Source organism: Homo sapiens, chromosome 10 (assembly GCF_000001405.40).
Source record: "Homo sapiens chromosome 10, GRCh38.p14 Primary Assembly".
In the NCBI taxonomy this organism is placed as follows: Eukaryota; Metazoa; Chordata; class Mammalia; order Primates; family Hominidae; genus Homo; species Homo sapiens.
The window spans coordinates 114,897,376-114,920,524 of NC_000010.11; the positions used below are offsets into that span (position 1 = coordinate 114,897,376).

Genomic DNA, 23,149 nt, shown 5'->3' on the forward strand with positions numbered 1-23,149 from the left:
ACTGCTGGCAAGTGTACCCTTTCTGCAGAAAGTCAAAATGGCCTTGCTGAGGAAATTAAATGTATGTTCAAATGCTATTTCTTTACGGCACTGGGGCACAAGCATTTTATTACTAAATAAGCATTTCAAACAGTATATATTCATTTGTATATTATAAAAATATTCTTTTCTCTCCTTCCCACTGTTATTTTATATCTAAATTGTTGGAGGTTAACTTTATAATTTAGTGTTCAGGTAACAAAATATTCACTGGGGCCCAGCGCATTGGCACACCCTGTAATCCCATCACTTTGCAAGGCCAAGATGGGCAGATTGCTTGAGCCCCTGAGTTTGAGACTAGCCTGGGCAACATGGCAAAACGCTGTTTCAACAAAAAGTACAAAAATTAGCCAGGCTTGGTGGTGCACACCATAGTCCCAGCTACTCAGGAGGCTGAGGTGGGAGGATTGATTGAGCCTGGGAGGTCAAATCTGCAGTGAGCCATGATTGCGCCACTGCACTCCAGCCTGGATGACAAGACTCTATCTCAAAAACAAACAAAAATTCATTGGGACTGTGACTGAACTTGAGAATTATTACTATTGGGATTGTGTGTTTCCTTATTTTGAGGAAATGGTGAACACGTGTTCATTTTTACAAAGGGAAGCTGTATTATGTTAGGTGAAAACATAGAGGTGTTTTGTTTTCATGAAGGAGTTCAAATGTTTGTAAAAGGGTGCATATGGAAGCGAAGAAGCCAAAGAGATGGACAGTGCCCCTTTTCAACTGATCGCTTTTCAGTTCTCTTTGTTGTTCTGCTTTGTGATACTGTGGAGCTGGACCCTATACATGTTGACCTCTGTCAGCCAGCACTGTGTACAGCTTTGTCAATAGAGAGTGCCATAGGGACTCTGCAGGTGCAAGAGGCTTCTTTTTCCAGTTCCAGTGTTATTCTTTCCCACTTGCTCCTATGGCACATAGGATGCATGGCACGTATATAGAATGGCCAGGGACATTCATACTCTTGCAAGTTTGGCTGGCACACTGGTGAGAGACTCATGGTTCCCTGCTCACCAGCCTCAGCCCACCAGCTGATAACCAGCTCTGGCCTGGGACAACTCAACAAACTTCTCCTCTATCTACTGGGCAACAGGCACACTCCTACCTGCCACAAGGTGTGAGACTTGACCTACCTTCCAAGTTTGTTCTTTTCTTGGTCACTCTCCCCGACTCTTAGGTTATTCTTCAGAGTTCTCTTTTATCTCCTCCCAGTCCCAGTTGCTAGTTCCTTATTACCAGTTGATAACTCTTTATATTACATTTTTTCTCGTTAAATTTCTGATGGTATTTCTCTCTCCTGATTGCAGCCTGACTGATACAAAAATGATATTGATTTTGAGTATTTCACAGGGTTATTATGATGCTTAAATAAGCTAATGCACAGAGAAGCACTTAGAAATTTTTTAAGAATTTGGTAAATCATTGTATAAATGGTCTCAATGTATCATCCTTCTTTTATTCATGCTACTTTATAGCATGAATCACTGATGCTAAGATTGGTCATAACATTTGTTTTGGCCAATGGACATCTACACACATGATATAAGTAGAAGTTTGGTAAGCATTTGTATACTGACATGTGCCCCTGAACACTGCCCTGACATTGCCATGTGAAGAGGAATAGTCTAGCCTCCTAGAGGATGGACAACCACATGCTGAGTGAAGCCCAGCCCTAAGCTGGTAGACCAGTGGGGTGCAGCTTCACGGGTAAGCCTAAGCAAGGCCAACAGAAGACTCACTCATTTAGCCCACAGAATCACAGAAAGAAAACATTGTTATTTTAAGACCCTACATTTAGGGGTGATTTGTTGCATAGCAATACATTATGGATGCAAGTATAACTGAAACACTAACTGAAAAGATATATAAGTTAAAATATTAGTAAAAACTTTTTCTGTGGTAAGTGACTGAAATCTAACTTAAGCTAGTGTAAGCACAAAATAATATGTATTGGTTTACATAGTTGAAAGTCCAGGAGTTGGTTAAGCACATAGTTAGATCCGTATGCTCAGGCTACATCCTCAGGGATCAGCCGTCTTACCTTCATTTCCTGATCTTCTTTCTTTTATCCTCAGGCAGACGTTGCCTTCATGGTGGTAAGAGGGATTCCAGAGTCTCTTATGTCCTCAAAGCTTCAAGCTCAGCCAAAAGAATCTCGATGGTTTCCACAAAAAATCTTGGGCCTTGGATCAACTGCCCACCCTTGAACCAATCCTGGTGGCCCCAGGCTGATTGGCAGACCTGAATCACCTATCCCATGCCCAGAACTTTGGCTTGACCAGGCTCATCCAAAACAAGGGAATCCAGAGTGTTTCCCCAAAGAAAATCAGGGGGCTATTACTGGGAAAAAGAATTCCACCACAAGTATAAAAAATACTGTTATCAATAAAACATCACCTGATACTTTGGTTCATTAAAGATGTATTACTTTGGTTTTTCTTGGTTGGGAATCATTTGGATACCAAGAATATAAATACTCTTGACTTAAGAAATGAGAAAGTTTATCAGAAGCATGCAGGATACTCCTGAATCCACAGGCAATGTGGCTAGGTGTCATGAAGAATTATATCCAAGAACTAGAAAGTCATAAGAGAGTCTTTTCTTTTTTTTCTCTCTCTCCCCCTCCACAATTACATGGTCTTTTGTCTCTGCTTTTCATTGATATTAATTTTTAACTCTCTAATTTCTGTGGGGAACCCATTCTGCGAGGTTTGGTTAAAGCTGACCCAACTTCCTGCCACAGGGGCAGGCTCATCTCTCAGACCAGCCAATCAGGGTATATCATCTCCCTGGCCACAGTGATGAATCTAGCTTGATCATGTGATCCAAGCTAGGTCAATTGGAGTCCTCCTGGGACCTTTCTGCCATAGTGATCCTGAGTCCTTTTTCCTCAGGGGTTCCTAAGTTAATTCGATGTGTATTGAATTTCATGGCCATCATGCTTGGCATATGGAAGAGAGCTTGTTTGCGAGCAGAGAGAAGAAAAACAACCTAATGATAGAATTTGAGATCTCAGATCCAACCATGACGTGAAGCCTTAGGTCTTTTAATTGCTTGAGCCCTGGGGTGGTGCTTCAACTTGGCCTAACTTCTCAGAGTCGGCCTAACTTTGCTCAGTTGCTCTAAGGTTGTACTATTTCTCTTGGGAACAAAAATTCCCAAAGGAAAGAGAATTTATGAGCAGTAACTGTGGAGGAGTTAATTTTTTAAAAAATGTCCTCAAAAAAAGGTGTAAAAATATTTCTTTAGTGGAGAAAGGCTCTTTCCTTTCCACCTGGCGGCAGCCATCCATTAAACCAAGGTGGATGCATACAAGCACATCCAGGAGCTATGCAGGAAGAAGCAGTGTGATGTCATGCACTTTCTTTTGAGGGTCCACTGCTGGCAGTACTGCCAGCTCTCTGCTGTCCACAGGGCTCACCGCCCCACCAGGCTCCACCGCAGCAGGCCTCATAAAGCTGGCTGACTGCGCTACAAGGCCAAGCAAGGTTATGTTATATGTAGGATTCGTGTGCGCCGTGGTGGCCAAAAACGCCCAGTTCCAAGGGTGCAACTTACAGCAAGCCTGTCCATCACGGTGTTAACCAGCTAAAGTTTGCCCGAAACCTTCAGTCTGTTGCAGAGGAGCGAGCCGGATGCCACTGTGGGGCTCTAAGAGTCCTGAATTCTTACTGGGTTGGTGAAGATTCCACATACAAATTTTCTGAGGTTATCCTCATTGATCCATTCCATAAAGCCATCGGAAGAAATCCTGACACCCAGTGGATCACCAAACCAATCCACAAGCACAGGGAGATGTGTGGGCTGACATCTGCAGGCCAAAAGAGCCGTGGCCTTGGAAAGGGCCATAAGTTCCACCACACTGTTGGTGGTTCTCGCCGTGCAGCGTGGAGAAGACACAATACTCTCCAGCTCCACCGTTACTGCTGATATAAGTAAAGTTTGTAAAATTCCTTCCTAATACACAATTTAGGACAGTCCAAAAAAAATATTTCTTTAAAGAGGCCCTACTCTTTAAAAAGAACTCCAATGGAAAGTTCCTCTTATATTCCAGTTGTATTAGTCTCCTATTGCTGCTATAATCAAAATGCAACAAAGTTAGTGACTTGAAACAGCACAACTTTGTTCTCATACAGAGGTCAGAAGTTACCAGTGGGTTGGCAGAACTGTGTTCCTGCTGGAGAATTGGCTTCCTTGCTTTTTCCAGCTACCAAAAGCTGTCCCCATGCCTTGGTTCAGGGCCCCCTTCCGGAAGTGGCATCATCCCAACCCCTGCTTTCATCACCACATCTTCTTTTTTGATATTGAGCTTCCTTCTTACCTCATATAAGGACCCATTTGACTACATTGGGCCCACCCAGGATAATCTCCCCATTGCAAACCCCTTAATTTAGCCACATCTGCAAAGAGCCTTCACCATGTAAGATAACAAATTCACGGGTTTCAGGGATTAGGATGTGGACATCTTGGAGGAGGGCATTATTTAACCTACCACACTGGTGGACTTATTTATTTATTTATTTATTAAAAAAAATCTGTGTTACCCCCAAAATGTTGTAATAAGAATAATGAGAAATTTGGAGTCACCTGTTTAGAGGAAATGTTTGTCTTCTAAGTCAAAGTGTATAACTCAAATAATCTGTCATTCTGCTTTATCCTGGGTGAGGAAAGACACTGGAATTTCAAGCACATTTAATTCCTTTGTAAAGATGATACTGCTCCTACTTTTCTTAAAATATACTCATTTTAGTTGGTATTTGTGCAGAAAAGTAAAATGCAGACAGGGACAAGAAAAGATAGAAATACTTGAGAAAAATGTAGAATAGAAAGGGCAAAAATTCACAAGCAACTTCTTTGCACTGCTTCAGAAAGGGAGGGGGAGAAAAAGAGAAACAGCAAAGACATACCACAAATATTTGCCATTCTCATAAAATGGAACTTGAGTGGAAAGTATAACCTCTGACTTGGTGGATGGAGAGGGCCAGAGAAAGCTTCTTTTTTCTTTTATCTGACCACATTTCAAAACAATACCAGGCAATAATTGTCTCTTAGAGTAAACGGCAAAGGGAATTGATTTTTAAATTACTTTTAAATCATAAAATCCCACAATTGTAACTGCATTTTGGGTAGTCATCCGGCAGTATACCAGGAACTTTACTGGAGAAAAAAATCCAGGAAGGCATTGAGAAGCACTAACAAAGCATGTCTCTGTTGAATTGATGTTAACTCTTCTCCTTAGTAATTGAGTTCTCATCCTAGGAAAATATTATTTATGAGAGGTGAACATTTTTTTTAAAAGGCTGCCCTGAAAGAATAGCAGAAACTATGACATTTTTTAATTTTATAAAACCATATAAAGAGATGCCTGACAACTTTGATGATTGGAAGCTTTAAAACCAAATTAAATCTATAAGCAGGTTTTTCTCAAAAAGAAAAGGCTTGAATTCAATATACATGTTCTACATTTATGTCAATGTTCTTTCTTTTTTTGTTTTCTTTTTAAATTTATTTTTATTTTATTTATTTTTTGTTTTTTCTTTGTAATGTTCTTTCTTCATTAATGGAAACTGAATAATTTCTGAGTGAATTATCTGAAAATCAACTTGCCAAATGCCAATTTACAGAAATTTAATTTAGCCAATGATAATTTGCCAAATATGCAATTCTCCAAATTTATCAAACATATGGATTTATTTAAAAAAACTTGCTTTTAATAATTATTTCAATGTCATTTCTTACTTTTCAAACACTAAATTAACATTAAAGAGTATCCTAAAAAAACAAGAAGTAGCTTATAAAACCCTACCATGTAATAAATGCTAACATTTTTAGTTCTAACCAGGAAAAATTGTATACATAGACTCAGTAACAGTTTGCAGAAGAACTCAATGTGGAAAAGGAAAATTATTCAACTTACTAGAAAGAATACCTAAAAGGGGTTAGCATAACAGACTGTATGATTAATAGTTCAAACTTGAGTTACCTTAACCATAAACATGAAATTGTAGGCCCGGCATGGTGGCTCACACCTGTAATCCCAACAGTTTGGGAAGCTGAGGTGGGTGGATCACCTGAGCTCAGGAGTTCAAAACCAACCTGGGTGACATGGCAAAACCCCATCTCTACAAAAAATACAAAAAATTAGCTGGGTGTAGTGGCATGTGCCTGTGGTCCCAGTTACTTGAGAGGCTGAGGTGGGAGGATCGCTTGAGCCCAGGAGGTCAAGGCTGCAGTGAGCCGGGATCATGCCACTGCACTCCAGCCTGGATGACAGAGGGAGACCTTGTCTCAAAAACAAACAAATAAACAACAACAACAAAAAAACCACCACCACCACCACCAACAACAAACTGTAAAGGAGGAATTTAAAAAGGGTTAAAAAAAAAAAAACCCTTAAAAGGCTAAATGAAGAAATGAACCAGACAGTGATGAGAGCAATCACATTATATAATAAATAAGGGCTATGGATAATAAAAATTACAAACAAACATTGATTTGTTACTTGAAAAGTAATGGAGAAAGTATCTTAAAAGTACTAAAATATTAGAAAATTAAACTTTAAGAGTGACCTAAAAAGAGTTAGAAAGAAATTAATATAAACATAAAAATCCCTCAATGAAACATTAAGGTGTTGGTTAGAGTTGATTTATGATATTAAATATATTCATCAGAATACTAAACCTCTCTATAATTTGTGGCCATTTGACTATCTGACCATTCCCTAATATGCTGCTAGGGAGATAAAATCAGAACCAGTCAACAAAAACTTCACAGGAACCTTCAAAAGCTGTTAAAAGTACTGCATTCAATTTGAGATGCTGCAAGACAGGGAGAGAGCTCTAAACTTTAAACATAAATTTAAATAAATAAATTAAAAGAACAAAGTTTTGGTCAATGTTTAAGTTTATTGAACAGGTCATCTTTTGGCAGACCACAAGACTCATATCATTGAAATCCCATAATGGCACCACTGTGCTCTTAAAAATCCAATCTCTTGCCATAGCCAATCAGATCTCCCCTTGGAAAGCTCCCACCTACTTACCTGTTCTCATCTCACCTTCAGTCAGACGTGCTGGCTCCTTTATGTTCCAAAAAGGCCACTTGTGCCCGTTTTGGCTTTGAGATATTTGCTTTTGATAGTCCCTCTGCCTGGAAGACTCTTCCTTCACTTCTCACGACTGTCTTCTCATCTTTCGGGTTTTGGTTTAAACATGACTTCATCAGGATGGCCCCGCATGATCACCCTATATAAAACTTCCTTCCCCAGTATGTGAGTCTGTTTTGCCTTGCTATAAAGGAATACCTGAGACTAGGTAATTTATAAAGAAAAGAGTTTTATTTGGCTCCGAGTTCTGCAGGCTGTCAAGCATGGCACCAACATCTGCTTGGCTTCTGGTGAGGTCTCAGGAAACTTGCAATCATGGTAGGATATGAAGGGGGAGCAGGTACGTCAAATGGTGAGAGAGGGAGCAAGAGAGAGGAAGACGGGAGGTCCCAAACTCATTTTAAACAACCAGCTGTCTTGTGAACTAATAGAGTGAAAACCTCACTCATTACACAAGAATGGTAGCAAGCCCTTCATGAAGGCTCCACCCCCATGACAAAAACACCTCCCACCAGGCCCTACCTCCAACACCGGGGATCACACTTCAACATGAGATTTGGAGGAGACAAACATCCAAACGCTATCACCCAGTTACCCTCCAATTACCCTATTCATTTCTTTTAAAAAAATCCAAAGCCTATCACTACTGGAAGCTGTTAGGTTTCTTTGTGCCCTTCACTTCCTTATTATCTATCTTCCTCACCAAAATATATGCTCCATGAGAGTTTAAAGTTATACTTTAAACCTAGTGCCTCTTCCTACAAACATTGATTTGTTAGTTGAAAAGTAATGGAGAAAGTATCTTAAAAGTATCTTCTGAGTAGCTACTAAATAAATATTTGTTGAATGAATCAAAGGATACATTTATCTTTGAGAACAGACTGCTCCTTAATTTTTTAAAAAATCCACTTAACTGCATCTTTTAGCAATGTGAAAATAAAGAGCTTTTGCAATGGAGTCTTTTGAGACAACACATTTTCTGCCAGTCATTTTTACCCCATGTCCAAATGAATGGAAGATTCCTTTTCCACTAGAAAAACATTCCCCCACCTAGTGGAAAAGTACTTGAATCCAGAATGCACTGACTACAGGGATTTGGAAGGATCTATAATAGGCTGTCTATGAAGAGTCCATGCAAGAATGACTCATAAGAGTTGTCATTGAAGACAAATCTGTGAGGGTGTAGGTGCATGGATCAGCATAAATCAGCCAGTAGTCCATCTGGGAATTGTGTCTGCTTGTATACATCAATACCTTCTCTGGGAGGCTTGGTTTCAAAGGATATTTTACAGACAACAGTATTAATCCCTAGAATTAGCACAGAGGAAGAGATGAAAGGAGTCCAATTACTTTTGCAACCTAGGTGCCCCAAGCAGCCTCTCCGACTTTTTTTCACTTTCCACTAACTCTTGTCCTTGAAGAAAGGCTAATTAGAAGTTAGAAAGAGGTTGAAGTTCCCCCAAAGACAGAATTTCAGAGAATTGGGAAAACTTTTTCAAGCCTGGCAATAAGAAATGGTTTTGATAGCCATTAAGGTGACCTCATGTTCACCTTCAAGCAAGATTTTGAGAAAACTGGGGTAAGCCTCAATCTATTTTTACTCAATGAACTGAAAGATAAAGGGAAAGAATGTAGACATTCTGTTGCCTGTCCTGGGTAATCAATAAGGAAACTGCTCTTTTTTTGAAGAGTTATATGGGCTTAATGATCCTCAGATCCTGAGTTCAGAATTTAAAATACATATGTATATAATTGTTGCATAGCCCACTCTGAAGTAGTAGAAGATTCAATGAAAATGCATGTGGAATGCTGACTATAAATTATCACACATATTATCATCATCTAGTCAAATATTTATCTTTTCTGGGGACTCTATGCTCATGGGGATTGATAATGAGATATTAAGCCTTTTGCCATTAATATTCTGTCTCAAATTGAGCCCAGCTTTACAGAGGAAAAAAAAATTGTTGTCATCTCAGTTTTCGCTGCCTGCTCTTTGTAAAGAGGCAGGAGGATACTGTCAGAATTGGCTCTAGGGAAAATTGCAAAGTCGAGGTTGGCATTCACTTTTCCTTTTTCCTGTTTGTCACCCCTCACCCTGAGTCTCTCATTTCCTTAGGGTCTTCCTGTTATCCTCCTGCCTTCCTGAGGGTTTGCAATATACTGTCCCAATGAGGCAGCCCCCTTTGCTGGGACCTCTACCTTCCTCTCCTCTGTTTGTTACTGCACTGTGGTCCTCAAGCCTTAGAAATGAAGTTGCCCTCAGAGAGTTAAACTCTAAATGAATTCCTAATGGATCAGAGCAGAGATTAGCAAGTACCTTAAAGCGGTCAAGTGGCTCCCCAGGCAATAAGAATGGACATTAACCAGATTGAAGATATAATAATGTATCTAACAAAAAAAGGGCAGGGGAGGATTTGGTCAGCCAAGGAGATAAAAATCACTTGTCAAAGACAAGACTAGCAGCGTTCATCTAAGCACTGAGCATAGGTAGAGGCCCTTCTGTCTTCTTATTGTAGTCCTGGGTGGATGCTACCAAATGTTCAAGTTGTAAAACTCCTGCCTCTGATTCCCCTACCTCCAGCTTCTTCCATTCTCTCCAAGCAACTGTCTGATAGTTTGACGTCCCATGGAGCTTGCCTACATGGGAAAAAATGCAGTAATCAAGCCAACACAAACATTATGCATGTCTAATAATTGTTTTTCATATTGAAAATTTGCAAGCAAGTACCCTGATTATATGACAGTGTGGGATGAGCTATACAGATCCTTCACCTCCAGGACTCAACGAAGTTTCTGAGACTACCAGGCTAGTATAGAAGGAATGCCCAAATGGGACCAGTCCACTGTGGTCCACTGTGGGTTGTGTGTAGAGAAACTGTAGGATGTCACGGGATCTGTAATTAAAAGCAATGCAAATTTCTTACCATTATGGGTTGAATTGCATCCCCCAAAAGATATGTTAAAGCCTTAGCCTCCCAGTACCACAAAATGTGACCTTATTTGGAAACAGAATCATTGTAGAAGTAATTAGTTAAGTGAAACTGAAGTCATACTGAAAAAGGGTGGGCTCTTAATCCAATATAACTGGTATTTTTACAAGGAGAGAGAAATTTGGACATAGACTCAGAGGGAAGACTGCCATGTGAAGTCAGAGGCCAGGCTGAGTGATGTTGCCTCCAGGCAAGGAATACCTGGGCTACCAGAAGCTAGAAGAGGCAATGACAACTTCTCCCTTAGAGACTTTGGAGGGAGCGTGGTCTTTCCAACACCTTGATTTTGGGCATCTAACCACCAGAACAAATTTCTGTTGTGTAAAGCCACCCAACTTATGGCAATTTGTTATGGTGACCCTAGGAAATGAATACACAAACGTAAGAAGAGAAGGCACTTGGTGGCCTCACAACCCTGCACTGTATGAAGTGAAGTGTGGCAGGAGAAAACAGTCTGTCAGACCTAGGGCTTAGTCCAAAGGGGAAGGGGAAGGATAAGAGGATTCGAGATGGAGAAGTTGGTGAAGTCCTGCCTTAGTCTGTTTGGGCTGCTATCACAAAATACCTTAGGCTGGGTAAATTATAAACCACAGACATCTACCGCTCACAGTTCTGAAGGCTGGGAAGTCCAAGATCAAGGTGCCAGCAGATTCAGTATCTGGTAATCCCATTCATAAGGACTCTGCCCTCATGACCTAATTATCCCCCAAAGCCTCAACCTCTTAATACCATCACCTTGGGGGTTCAGTTTCAGCATATGAATTTTGGGGTGACACAAACATTCAGACCATAGTAAGTCCCCTCTCAGAAATAAAGTCTCAAGGCACACAACCCCTTTGGGCCTCTGTTTAGCATGAATGAATAAAATAAAGGAACCAGGAATTAGAATTTTAAAAGTTTTTATTATCTTTCTGACTGGGCATGGTGGCTCATGCCTGTAACCCCAGCACTTTGGGAGGCCAAGGCAAGTGGATCACCTGAGGTCAGGAGTTCAAGACCAGCCTGGCCAACATGGCAAAACCCCATCTCTACTAAAAATATGAAAATTAGCCAGGAGTGGGGGCGTGTGCCTGTAATCCCAGCTGCTTGGGAGGCTGAGGCAGGAGAATCACTTGAACCCGGGAAGTGGAGGTTGCAGTGAGCCGAGATCGCACCACTACACTCCAGCCTGGGCAACAAGAGCAAAACTCCGTCTCATAAATAAATAAAAACATGAAAGTTTTTATTATCTTTCTGTTTTCCTTTTGTGATTCAGCGAAATCCTGAAAAGTAATGTAGGTAGCAAGAAAGAGGAGTCAAGAGGGGCTGTGGTCTTGAGTTAGGTAACTGGGAAGATGATGGCACCCCATAGCCTAGTTTTGGGGAGAAGATTCCCAAAGAAGAGAGATCATGGACATAGGAAGAGAAAACTGGGTGTTGGTCCCATAGTCTCCCCTTGCCGAGCTTCCTTAGAGGCGGTTCCTGGGAAACTGCTTCAGGATCCCCACTTCAGTGGCCTCCTGAGCAATCTTTTCTTCACTTGCCAAGTCTTACTCATGTCTGTAAATTATATAACTACTCCCTCCATTACTCAAGCCAGAAACCTAGGAGTCACCCTGGATTCCTCCCTTTTCTTCACTGTCTCATCCCTCATATCAGGGAATTCCACAGAGCTTACCTCCAAATAAATGTCCTTTACTCACCATCTCCACAATCCCACTGTAGTCCGATTTTGCGCCATCACTTGCCTGGAGCCCACAACAACCTTCTAATTGGTCTTCTCACTTCCGCTCTTGCTCCTTTAATTGTTTCTTCACTCAACAGCAAAAGTGATCTTCTTAAAACAATAATCTGATAACTCCCTGGCTTAAAACCATCCATTTCAATGAAAGTAAAACCCTAACTTTTTATAATGGCTTACAAAGCATTTTACGATTGAATCCTGCCTCTCTCTCACTGTTTCCTCAGTTGTAGCTGCACCGTTCCTTCAGTTTCTCTACCAGAAACTCTTCCCACCACAGGGCCTTTGCACATACGGTTACTTTTGACTGGACTATTCTACCCACAGTAGCATGACTAGCTACTCCCTGTTCTAAGTTTCAGCTTAAATGTCACCTCAGAGAGGCCTTCCTTGGTGACCACCATTAATAGACATGAATGCATGTCTATTAATCTTTATCTCAGCACCTCATTTGTTTCTCCATAGTAAATATTTAACTTGCATTTACTTGATCTCTGTCTCTCATCTCTGTCAATATGTAAGTCCATAGATGTAGGAACCGTAATTGTCTTTTCTACCACTGTATCCCTGGCATATAGCACAGACCCATAGTAAGTATCCAATAAATATTGTTCGAATGAATGAATATTTAGTGTAACCACAGCTGAACATGGCCCCAGGACTGAAAGTTGGGGGACAGGGAGCAGGATGGGGTGGGAGGATGGTTAGAATGATTTGCTGGGAAAAGGATTTTCTAAAATGAGCATGAAGAATAATTTCACTCAGTATAACTATTTGCAGTCCAAAATGCAGAAAAAAAGTATTATCGGTACATGTTTATTGAGGTATTATTTACAATAGCAAAAAAGTTAAATGATCTCTAGGCTATAAGTGGAGAAAATGTATATTTGTGAAGACAATACTAGTCACGATATTGAACTTTAAAAACTTTCAATGAAGATATGTAGAAGCAAATCTCAGTGTGGTCTTTATCTGTTGTTATTTTGTCACATAAAAGGTCAAGTGTTTTTGCATATGTGCATAGGGTTTCTTTTCTTTTTTTTTCTTTTCTTTTTTTTTTTTTTTTTTGAGACAGAGTCTTGCTCTGTCACCCAGGCTGGAGTGCAGTGATGCAATCTCGGCTCACTGCAACCTCCACCTCCTGTGTTTGAGTGATTCTCCTGCCTCAGCCTCCCAAGTAGCTGGGATTACAGGTGTGTGCCACCATATCCGCCTAATTTTTTGTACTTTTCGTAGCAACAGGGTTCCACCATGTTAGCCAGGATGGTCTCAATCTCCTGATCTCGTGATCTGCCCCCCTTGGCCTTCCAAAGTGCTGGGATTACAGGCGTGAGCCACAGCACGTGGCCAGGGTTTCTTAATTATTTATTTTTTGTATTTGTGGTTTAAAAGAATGACAAATGTATTTTTGGTTAACAATTGTATCATACTTTTTTTTTTTAGACAGAGTCTCGCTCTGTCATCCAGGCTGGAGTGCAGTGGCGCCATCTCAGCTTACCGCAATTTCTGGCTCCTGGGTTCAAGCAATTCTCGTGCCTCAGCCTCCGAAGTATCTGAGATTACAGGCATGTGCCACTACACCTGTCTAATTTTTATATGTATTTTTTAATAGAGACGGAGTTTCACCATGTTGTCCAGGCTCTCTCCAACTACTGACCTCAAGTGATCAGCCTGCCTCGGCCTCCCAAAGTACTGAAATTACAAGTGTGAGCCACCGCGCCCAACCAATAGTATTGTACATTAATCCTGATGAAACCTAAAGAGTAGACACATCTTTCATACACAAACACACACACACAAAATACAAGTGGATTCAGAAGTTTTCAGAAGGATATTAGTGGCCCAAAGTCATGGCAACTGCCTTGTAGAGGGAGAACCTAGTGGTTCTTCCTAAGATAGCCTAAGCAGTAGAGTTTAAAGTGTGGTCCCCAGATCAACAGAAACAGCGAATTCTCAGACCTACTGAATTAGAAACTCTTGGGGTGGAGGGCAGCAATCTGGGTCTAAATACTCCTTCTGAGTCATTCTGATGCACGCTAAGGTTTGAGAACCACTGGTTAAAGCAACATTCTGATGACCAGATCTAGGTTTGCTGAGATCTGCCAAAGGAAGGAAGTTCAGTTTCCACTCTTCGTGAGCAGGGTTGAAGCCAGTTTCCCTGAGGATCCTCTGTAAGCAGAAGGGCCCACCCATCCTTCTCTACCTTGAGCAAGCCTCTGATCCTGCCAGGAGTGGTGAGACTTACACCCCTTAAGCTCCTACCTTTGGCCAGGGCTCCTCCCTTTTTTCCCCACTGGCTCTTAGGAGGATGGGATTCAACAACAAAGCTTGTTTTATCCTGACTCTGTCACTCTGTGTCTCTGGGCAAAAGGCTGCTTATCTAATGGGAGAAAGCTGCTTTTAGTGCCGTCTCTGCAACTACTATAGAAGACTTACTTTTAACCTAGAGTAATAAACTCCCTACACCTGTCCTTGAATTAGATGGAATGAAACCAGATCTAGAGTTCCCCAAAGCTAAAACCGAGACTCCAGACATTCCCATTATACATTTTAACAAAGGAGGGGACAGAGGCCCAGACAGTGGATGTCTCTGAGGTTACACAGTTTGTAAGGGACAGACCTCAGATTAGCCCCCAGGTCTGCGGCTTCTAATTCAGTACTTTTGTGGCTGTACTTTATTCAGTGTCCTTTCTACTTCCTACTCAACAGCCCAGGGCTTTACTCCACATCTATGAGGTAGGGCCTGGGGATTTGGGCTGCTATGAATACTTATGCAGTTTTGTACTGAAGAAGTCAAAAATATGCCGCCCCAAAATACACTGCTCTGGCATAATGACTATTTTGAATTAAAGACGCTTTTACAAAAGCAGCAGGTGCAAGAAGATCACTCTGACCTTCATTCTGTTTCTTAGAAGCAGAGCATAAAAATCCCATGTGAAAGATACCGGCCTTGTACCAAAAAGAATAACATTCTTATCATCAAGGACAGGAAGTTGAAGCTGAGGGAAATTTGTACAAACCAACCTTGTCAAACGAACCCTTATCTGCCTCATCACTTCTCTAGCCAATTAACTACCCCAGCTCAAGCCCCTTTGCCTTCTTACATTTCACAACTTACTATTATTTGTGCAATTCAGTATGTGATTGACTCTCTCAACTGCTTCTTTGGGTCTTCATTTTTGTATGAGGGCTCCTGTGCCATGTAAAACTTCTATTGAATAACTTTGTATGGTTTTCTCCTGTTAATCTATGTTAGGTCAATTTAATCCTCAGGCCCAGCTGGGAAACCACGAAAAAGGAGGTGGAATTTTGCCCCCACTACAATATTGATCAAGGAGGTCAGGATGCAGAGAGGGGAGTAAGGGTAAGGCACAGCCTGAGCCAAACCCCAACCTCTGCCCTGGGGCTGCATCTGTCAGAAGAGAGGCCCTTTTACAAATGCAGATGCCTGGGTCACACTTTAGGCTAATGAAATCAAAAGCTCTAAGAAAGGGGATTGCCATTAATACACATATGTGCATGTGTGTGTGTGTGTGTGTACATATGTATATATACACATATATATTTTTGTTTTGTTTTGTTTTGTTTTTTGTTTTGAGACAGACCCAGGCTGGAATGCAGTGGCGCAATCTTGGCTCACTGCATCCTCCACCTCCCTGATTCAAGAAATACTCCTGCCTCAGCCTCCCAAGTAGCTGGAATTACAGGCGTGCCACCATGCCTGGCTAATTTTTTTTTTTTTTTTTTTTTTTTTTTTTTTTTTTTTTTTTGAGACAGAGTCTTGCTCTGTCACCCAGGCTGGAGTGCAATGGCACAATCCCGGCTCATTGCAACTTCCGCCTCCTGGGTTCAAGCGATTCTCCCTCCTCAGCCTCCCGAGTCGCTGGGATTACAGGTACCTGCCACCATGCCCAGCGAATTTTTTTTTTTTGTATTTTTAGTAGAGACAGGATTTCGTCATGTTTCGAACTCCTGACCTCAGGTGATCTACCCGCCTCGGCCTCCCAAAGTGCTGGGATTACAGGTGTGAGCCATAGCACCTGGCCATAATTTTTGTATTTTGAATAGAGACAGGGTTTCACCGTGTTGGCCAGGCTGGGCATAAACTCCTGACCTCAAGTGATCTGCCCGCCTTGGCCTCCTAAAGTGCTGATTACAAGCATGAGGCACAGCACCCAGCCAATACAATATTTTTTGAGACAGGTTTTGCTATGTTGTCTAGGCTGGAGTGCAGTGGCTGTTCACAGATGTGATCATAGCACACTACAGCCTTGAACTCCTGTCCTCAAGCTATCCTCCTGCCTCAGCCTCCTCAGTAGCTGGGACTACAGGCATGCACCACTGGACCTGGCTCATTAATAGTTATTTTTTAAAGCTTATCAGGTGATTCTAATGTTCAGCCAGAGTTGAGAATAACTGTTTGAAATTATTCCCAAGCTTCCTTTACTATACTGTTGCTTAAGTGTCCAATCCTAACATTGTTATCAAAAGCAAGAGACTGTAGATTGACTCAATAATTCAGGCTAATATAATCCGGTCATCTCCACAAAAAAGCACTAGTTGATGAAGTTAAATACTTTCTCCAATTCTGAGCCAGAAATTCAATACTGCATCTCAAACGATCTTAAAAAAAAAAAAAATCTGTTTTAAGGAGAGAGACTATTTCTATTTCCATCCTTAAAGTATGATTACTAAAAACTGAAAAATTCAGTTCTCGTTTTGCAAAGCAGTGAGATATTTAGGTAGGTGGGAGTCATTTTCTCCTCCTGGCTTTTCAGCCTTGGCCCTCAAATTAGGGACTTCCAGGCTCTTGGAAGTGTTGGATAAAGGCTTCCACCTTCCTTCTTTTGCAGGCTTTTTCCTGCGGTGGGATTTATAGAGGTGCATTGAGCTACTGGCATACATCTTTTCTTAGCTAGGCTGTTCACAGGACACAAATATCCTTTATTTCTTCAGGTGACAGGCACAAGGGCAAACCCTACCCCTGCAGACAGCTGGTCCTCAGGCGTATCTATCTAGGAGAACTCAGAAAAGAGAAAGATTAAGCCTGACTTTGTCATAGATTCAAGCCCCTTATTCCAGTCCAGCTTTACTAGCAATAAATCTAATATTTTGACCTCCATTTGACTTTGGGCCTATTTCTCACCTGATTCAGAATGAGCCCCCTTAAATCCTAACAGTTAAGTCAATCTACATGACCAAAATGACCAGCTTGACTGTCTTATTTGTTGTGCTGCAAAACATTCACTGCAACTTTATCACCCTAGCTTTCAGTCAATCTAATAGGTTTTGGCTGAGAGAAATAAGGGCTGGATTAGCAGAGGCCTGGTCATCCTGATTGTACTCCTGTGTTGAGCTGAGGCTAATTAATTCAGTAGAATGCTGCTTTTGTGATGTTTTATAACGATTCTGGACTAAACACATGAACACAGCTTGAATTGGTTTATAGCTCCCATGAACTGACAGAAATTAGTTTGTTGTTGTTTTGGGATGTGGTAGTTAGAATTGGTAGAGTCAGGATTACCTAGAAGTCTTCATGAAACTTTATAGTCTGACTTTCACTATGATTCTTGCTCTACTGGAAAGAAATGGTTGCTTTATTCTTAGAAAAGAGATGAGATGCAAAAGGTCTAGTTTTTTTGACTAGGAAAACTAATTTAACCTTTTATTTTACTGACGTGTTTCCACCTATAAAAGAAACTAACCGAGTAATTCTGTAATCATTGCTACCATGGGACTTATTAATATATTACTAAATAGCTGCAAAACTAGTAGAATATTAATGAAAATTTGTGCCAAAAATCCATAAGATGAGAATTTTAAAATGTATAATAACCTTAGATGATCTAGATACATAAATATATGTACCTAGAATTAAAGACATTGCCTTGATTCTAGAAGCTGCAAATTAACATTTAAAATAATGACTCACCTTTGTTCAAGTTTGAATCTTATGATGAAGCTAAATTTCTCAGGTTTTAAATCCTGAGGACTGCACTCAGAAGAAAATCAGATGTTTTCAGCCACAAACATTGCTTAAAAGAAATTTCTGGGAAGAGAATATATTGATAGAAATTATGTAGTCAAAGATTTAGATAAATTTATGGGCAAAAGACTTTTTAGTGTCCCCAGCCTACATGATTAATAATTCAGAGCCAAATTTAGGGGCACTCCACCCAGAAGGAATTACATTATCCAATTTCTGTCATGTCATCCTGAAGTGTAAGCAGCAAGCTCATTAAAAATGAATGAGGTAATCAGACAAATTCTATGACCATGCGTGAGCTTCTCATTAATGTTTTACTAGACAGCATTAAGAAAGACTAAATAGACTGCACTAGATCTGGAAGTAATAAATGGACTTCAAAAGCAAAGCAACTTAACGACCTTCCAGTAAACAGAAAGACTTGAAAGGGAAAGGATGAAGGATTTTAGAAACCTATCAGCTACACATTTTGGCTGCATCTACAATGGAAAAGCGAAATGCAGTATGATCAATTACCTGCTTAATTTGATGAATCAACAGGCCAGGTTTAAATATTACTTTGAAGCCCGAAATAACGGATTGGGCTGTTATTAGCAGGTTAAAGTTCCTAATTCTCCCTTCACTGAGTACTGTTTGACTAGTGCACAGTTTCTCAGCAGTAACAGTACCGGTGTTTTGGCCTGGGTAATTCTGTTCAGGGGGCTGTCCTATGCATTGCAAGGTGTTTAGCAGCATCCGTGGCTTCTACTCACTAGATGCCAGTAACATCGCCCAGCTGTGACTACCAAAATGTCTCCATACATTGCCAAATGTCCCCTGACATTTATACCTGAGCCTGGTGAAAGGAGTCACACCTGTTACAGAGGCAGAGAATTCCAAGAGTACCAATATCCCATTTCCAATGGGAGGCTGTACAAACCATTAAATGAAGGGATTAACTTGCAATTGTTTGGTCAATTTGGACTTTGCAGACAATTAAACTAGTTAATTCAGATCAAAATTTTTTCTTTGGGATTTGACTTATCAGGATTGGCATCTAAATTAATTCAATTAGTGGACTTACTGCTAGGCATATTTTTAATTTTGACTTGAGGTTTCAAGCTCAGAAATATCTCAAGTGCAATGATCAGGGTTCAGAAACAGATGGAGCTGCCTCATCAGCATGATTGTATTTGGGGGGCTTTGTTACTATGAGCACACACAAATACACACATACACACATTCCTCTAAGAATTCTTTCCATTGGTTTCTGGTTATCTGGTTTTTGCTCTGGTATCTACACCGCTTCTCCCCTTTGCATAAACGTCATTCCAGCTTGACTTAGCAGATAGCTTGATAATTAAAAGTGTAAGCTTTAGAGCCAGATAAAACTGTGCTTGAATTCTGACTCCAGGATTAATCAGTCCTTCATTATGTTAACAACAACAACAACAAAAAGAATCAGTTGTAATAGTACTTCCGAGGTCGTCAGAAATATATGAACTGGTTAGGAGGTGTCAGGTCCATGACTACGCCAAATGTCATGCCGAGCTGTGCCAAGCCATGTCCACGAGCGCCTGTACAGCAGAAGCAGGGCAGTTATACCTTTTGAAACAATAGTGGCTCCAAGTCAAATATGCGCTTACATAAACAGGTTATATAACAAGTGGAGGTGTGCACCTGCGCACCAATCCCGCTGAGTCATGCAGGCCTGAATGTCTGCCTTGGCCTATTCCTTGACCAAAGCATGCCATGTCCTTTACAGGAGGTTAGTGCTTCTGTCAATAACAGAGATGGATCGACAATGCTAAAAAAGGGAAGGGTTAATATCTCATGTAAAATTCTTGATGGAGGGACCCCTGAGCTAGGAACTGGATCCCTTCCTATATTCCTGCTCTGTAATTTTTAATGAGTGGTTCTCATCCTCAGGATTAATAGATAGCTGTTGGACTTCCAGACATGATTTCCTCATTTCCAGCAGGAGGAAGGGAAAGCCCAAAGAGCATATGGCCTTTTTCTAAAGCCCCTGTTGATGACTTCTTCTTTTCATTGACCCCAGGTGTGAGAAAGGTAGGTAATGCAGTGTTTAAGGCAGGTACAGCTGCCTCTGGTAACTTAGCAGTTTTGTTATTTAGAAAGAATGAATATTGGATAGATGCTGGTAGTTTTTGTCACTTTGAAACTCCTTCCCAGTCTCCATTGGATCCTAAGCATCCAAGAATTTACTTGACTTTAAGAAAATAAGGACAGCCCGGATTCCACAATAATTGCCATCTTTCCTGATGGCTTCTTCAACTATATGCTCTGTTGCTGGGCACCAGTGCTTTGGGTGGGCTTCAAAAATCCTGCCACAGAAACTCCCATGGGCCAGAGGCTGCTCTCCAGGCCACAGTACTGGGGATACGATCTCCATACAGGCATATCAGACAACTAGTGAGCTCCAAAGAGCTGGGTGGGAATGCACCTCACACACTGTAGAACTTGCCACCATGTTTTACTCCCCTACTCAGTCCCAGGGAATTTAACTCTACCATGTTTGCTTGTCTCTGCCTCAACTCCCAGAAACACCCTGGGGCTTAGGTTTTGAGACCTTAGGTTTTAAACCTCTATGGGCCTAGGGTTTGAGAACTTACACCAAATAATTCTTCCTGTAGCTAAGGAAATTCAAACCTTCAACATACAGAGACTGGGCTGCTTTATTTGGGGTAAGAGTGGGGAGTACATACAATAAGGCTCACAAACAAGGTTATTATGGAAAAAAGAAAAGACTTAATTTTACATTGACCAGTGAAAGTCCTTAGGGATTTAAAGAGAACATCCAATAAAAATGTATGATCATCTCTGTGGGAGAATGCAAATTATTTGATTGTTATTTTAATTTTAAAATAATGGGTCCTTTTTTGTCCTTTTCCCCTAATGCCATTGTAATGCTAAAAGTGTAACACTTAATGAGTACTACTGCTCTTCATCAAAAGGTAGCTCCTTTTATTTTTCTACAACTTATAGAAATCTGCACCTGTGAATTAATGTTTAATGATTCATTCATTGTCTGCTGTCAGGCTTGTGTCTTGCCCTTTTGAAAGAAAATACTATTTAAGTAATGAGTGAGGTATCATGGAATTTCCTAAATATGTACAACTCAGAAGAACAGTTGTACATCACTGCGTTTTGTAAAACAGAGTATGTGTGGCAAACAGGAACTTTTATGGATCCAATAGCCACTCCTCCCCACTTTCGTGCCTACCTCTTTTCTTCCTTGATAACTGAGCCCTGGTTTTGTTCAAGTATTTACCTTCCCACATACTGAACCCCGGGAGGGAATTGTTGATGAGTCAGTCTAAACCACTTGTTGTAATCTATTACTTTTGCTAATGATTGGTTTAAGTGTGTGCATGTGATGCTCACTGAGTCTGGTGGGAGAAATTCAGGGAAGGTTTCTTCCTGGAAGGAACACAAATGAGAACTTGTGCCTTCCCATGTTCGGATGTTGTAATGTGAGGGCATCCTACAACCATTATGGTCTTTCTTTTGACCATAAAGAAATACATTGTTGGTATATTATGACTGGCATAACAGAAAGATGGCAGGTACCTGAACCTTGATAACATTTGTTGAGTTGCTGCACTAACCCTGAACCACCCTTCATTTGTAGGATAAAAGGTACTGTGTAAGCCATTTATTCTTAGGTATTCTGTTATTTGCAGCCAAAGCATTTTAACTGTTAAATAAAATAATTTGCTGCTACTTGCCTGCACAATATCTGCTGTCCTCTTTTATCTTGATTATATTCTTGGTAGCACTGACCACATTTTTCTAGCTTCCCTTGAAACTACAGCTCAATTGAGATATAAACAGAAATTGATGGATGTGGGTTCGGGGATATTGCTCCCTACAGGGCACTAACTCAGCCAGGATGCTCTCTCTCTTGTCCTTCTCTATTTCTGTCTTTCTTCCTGTTTTCTGTATGAACAATATGGAGGTATAGGGGAGCACTCCTGCTGCCATATTTGTACATAACTTTAAGAATAGAAGGCACACGTGAAATAAGGTAGAGTAGAAAGAAATAAGGAGTGTGAGTCTCCGATTGACCATGGAATCACCATGCCACCACTGGACTACCTATTTCTGGACGTTTTCTTGTTTAAGTCACTATTGTTTAGGTTTACTGATATATGCAACCAAATCTAATCCTGACTTGACTGTTGCAGCTGCTGAATGGCATTTAAAGTGATCCTTTATGAAGGAAATTAATATAGAAGCAGAAGTCTTATTTCTTAGATTGATTTTTTTAATTTAAAAATTGCCATTTAGTTATTTTGAAACAGCAAAGAGCTACTCAAATTGTATTTGATATCTCTATTTTTTCCATAATTATCCTAAGATATTATCTTTTGAAGCTGATTGAGAAAGCAAGGAATAGAAGTCATTATATTACTTGTTACTATGTTTACAGGCATGCCCAAAAAAGGAGTCCAAAACTGGGTCACCAAATTCATCCCATCTCCATATAGTTGTTGAGCACATAAAACGTTAGAGACACTATGTTAGGCACTGTGTGTGTGTGTGTGTGTGTGTGTGTGTGTGTGTGTGTGTGTGTTCGAGAGATAGAAAGATATAGGTCCTACTATCAAAGAACAAAATTAGTTTAGCTGGCAGAAAATAATACAAAAAGATACAGACAATTTTTTAGAAACACCAAAATAAAAAATACAAAGAACTGCCTAATGAATTGAAGGAAATAAGCAAGAATGTTGACTTCTGTATCTTATATGGTTTTTATTTCCTTTTTTTGTATTTTTTCAGACTTCCTATAAAGAACATACAGTTTTTAGTAAGAAAGAAAAAAATTTTGGCCGGGCATGGTGGCTCATATCTGTAATCCCAGCACTTTGGGAGGCTGAGGCAGGCAGATCACAACATCAGGAGCTCGAGACCAGCCTGCTCATCATGGCAAAACTCCTTCTCTACTAAAAATTCAAAAATTAGCCAGGTCTGGTGGCACGTGCCTGTAATCCTAGCTACTCGGGAGGCTGAGGTAGGAGAATTGCTTGAACCCGGGAGGCAGAGATTGCAGTGAGCCGAGATTGCGCCACTGCACTCCAGCCTGGGCGACAGAGCAAGAATCCATCTCAAAAAAAGAAAAGAAAAGAAAGGAAAAAACTTTATAAAATATTTTTATTGCTCAAAAAATGTAGTTGTTACAAGTAAGGAATTTGGAGCCAAAGCTCCTCCATGCATTATGTCTGGGGAATTCTCAGCTTTCTGCAGTTCTCTCCCATAGCTACTTAAAATTCTTCATTTGATCATAGTGGGTTTAGTTGCAGGTT

At 40.6% G+C, this 23,149-nt stretch overlaps 1 protein-coding gene and 1 pseudogene across 1 annotated transcript in view, besides 2 other annotated features; both read left to right on the top strand.

The window, feature by feature from the left end:
* The window catches only part of FHIP2A (FHF complex subunit HOOK interacting protein 2A), a 78,053-nt gene extending 75,596 nt beyond the window's left edge, over window positions 1-2,457 (top strand). The window contains exon 17 of the mRNA NM_001135051.2: window positions 2,115-2,457. Coding sequence (NP_001128523.1) covers window positions 2,115-2,139 — 25 coding nt within the window. The 3' untranslated portion in view covers window positions 2,140-2,457. The remainder of the gene's footprint in view (window positions 1-2,114) is intronic.
* Window positions 3,290-4,019, top strand: RPL15P13 (ribosomal protein L15 pseudogene 13; annotated as a pseudogene).
* Window positions 8,055-8,349: a silencer, noted in NCBI's record as "tiled region #3306; K562 Repressive non-DNase unmatched - State 24:Quies". NCBI's record gives its function as "represses a minimal TATA promoter and a strong SV40 promoter by Sharpr-MPRA in K562 cells {active_cell/tissue: K562}" and the evidence as "EXISTENCE:reporter gene assay evidence [ECO:0000049][PMID:27701403]".
* Window positions 8,055-8,349: an enhancer, noted in NCBI's record as "tiled region #3306; HepG2 Activating DNase matched - State 9:DNaseU". NCBI's record gives its function as "activates a minimal TATA promoter and a strong SV40 promoter by Sharpr-MPRA in HepG2 cells {active_cell/tissue: HepG2}" and the evidence as "EXISTENCE:reporter gene assay evidence [ECO:0000049][PMID:27701403]".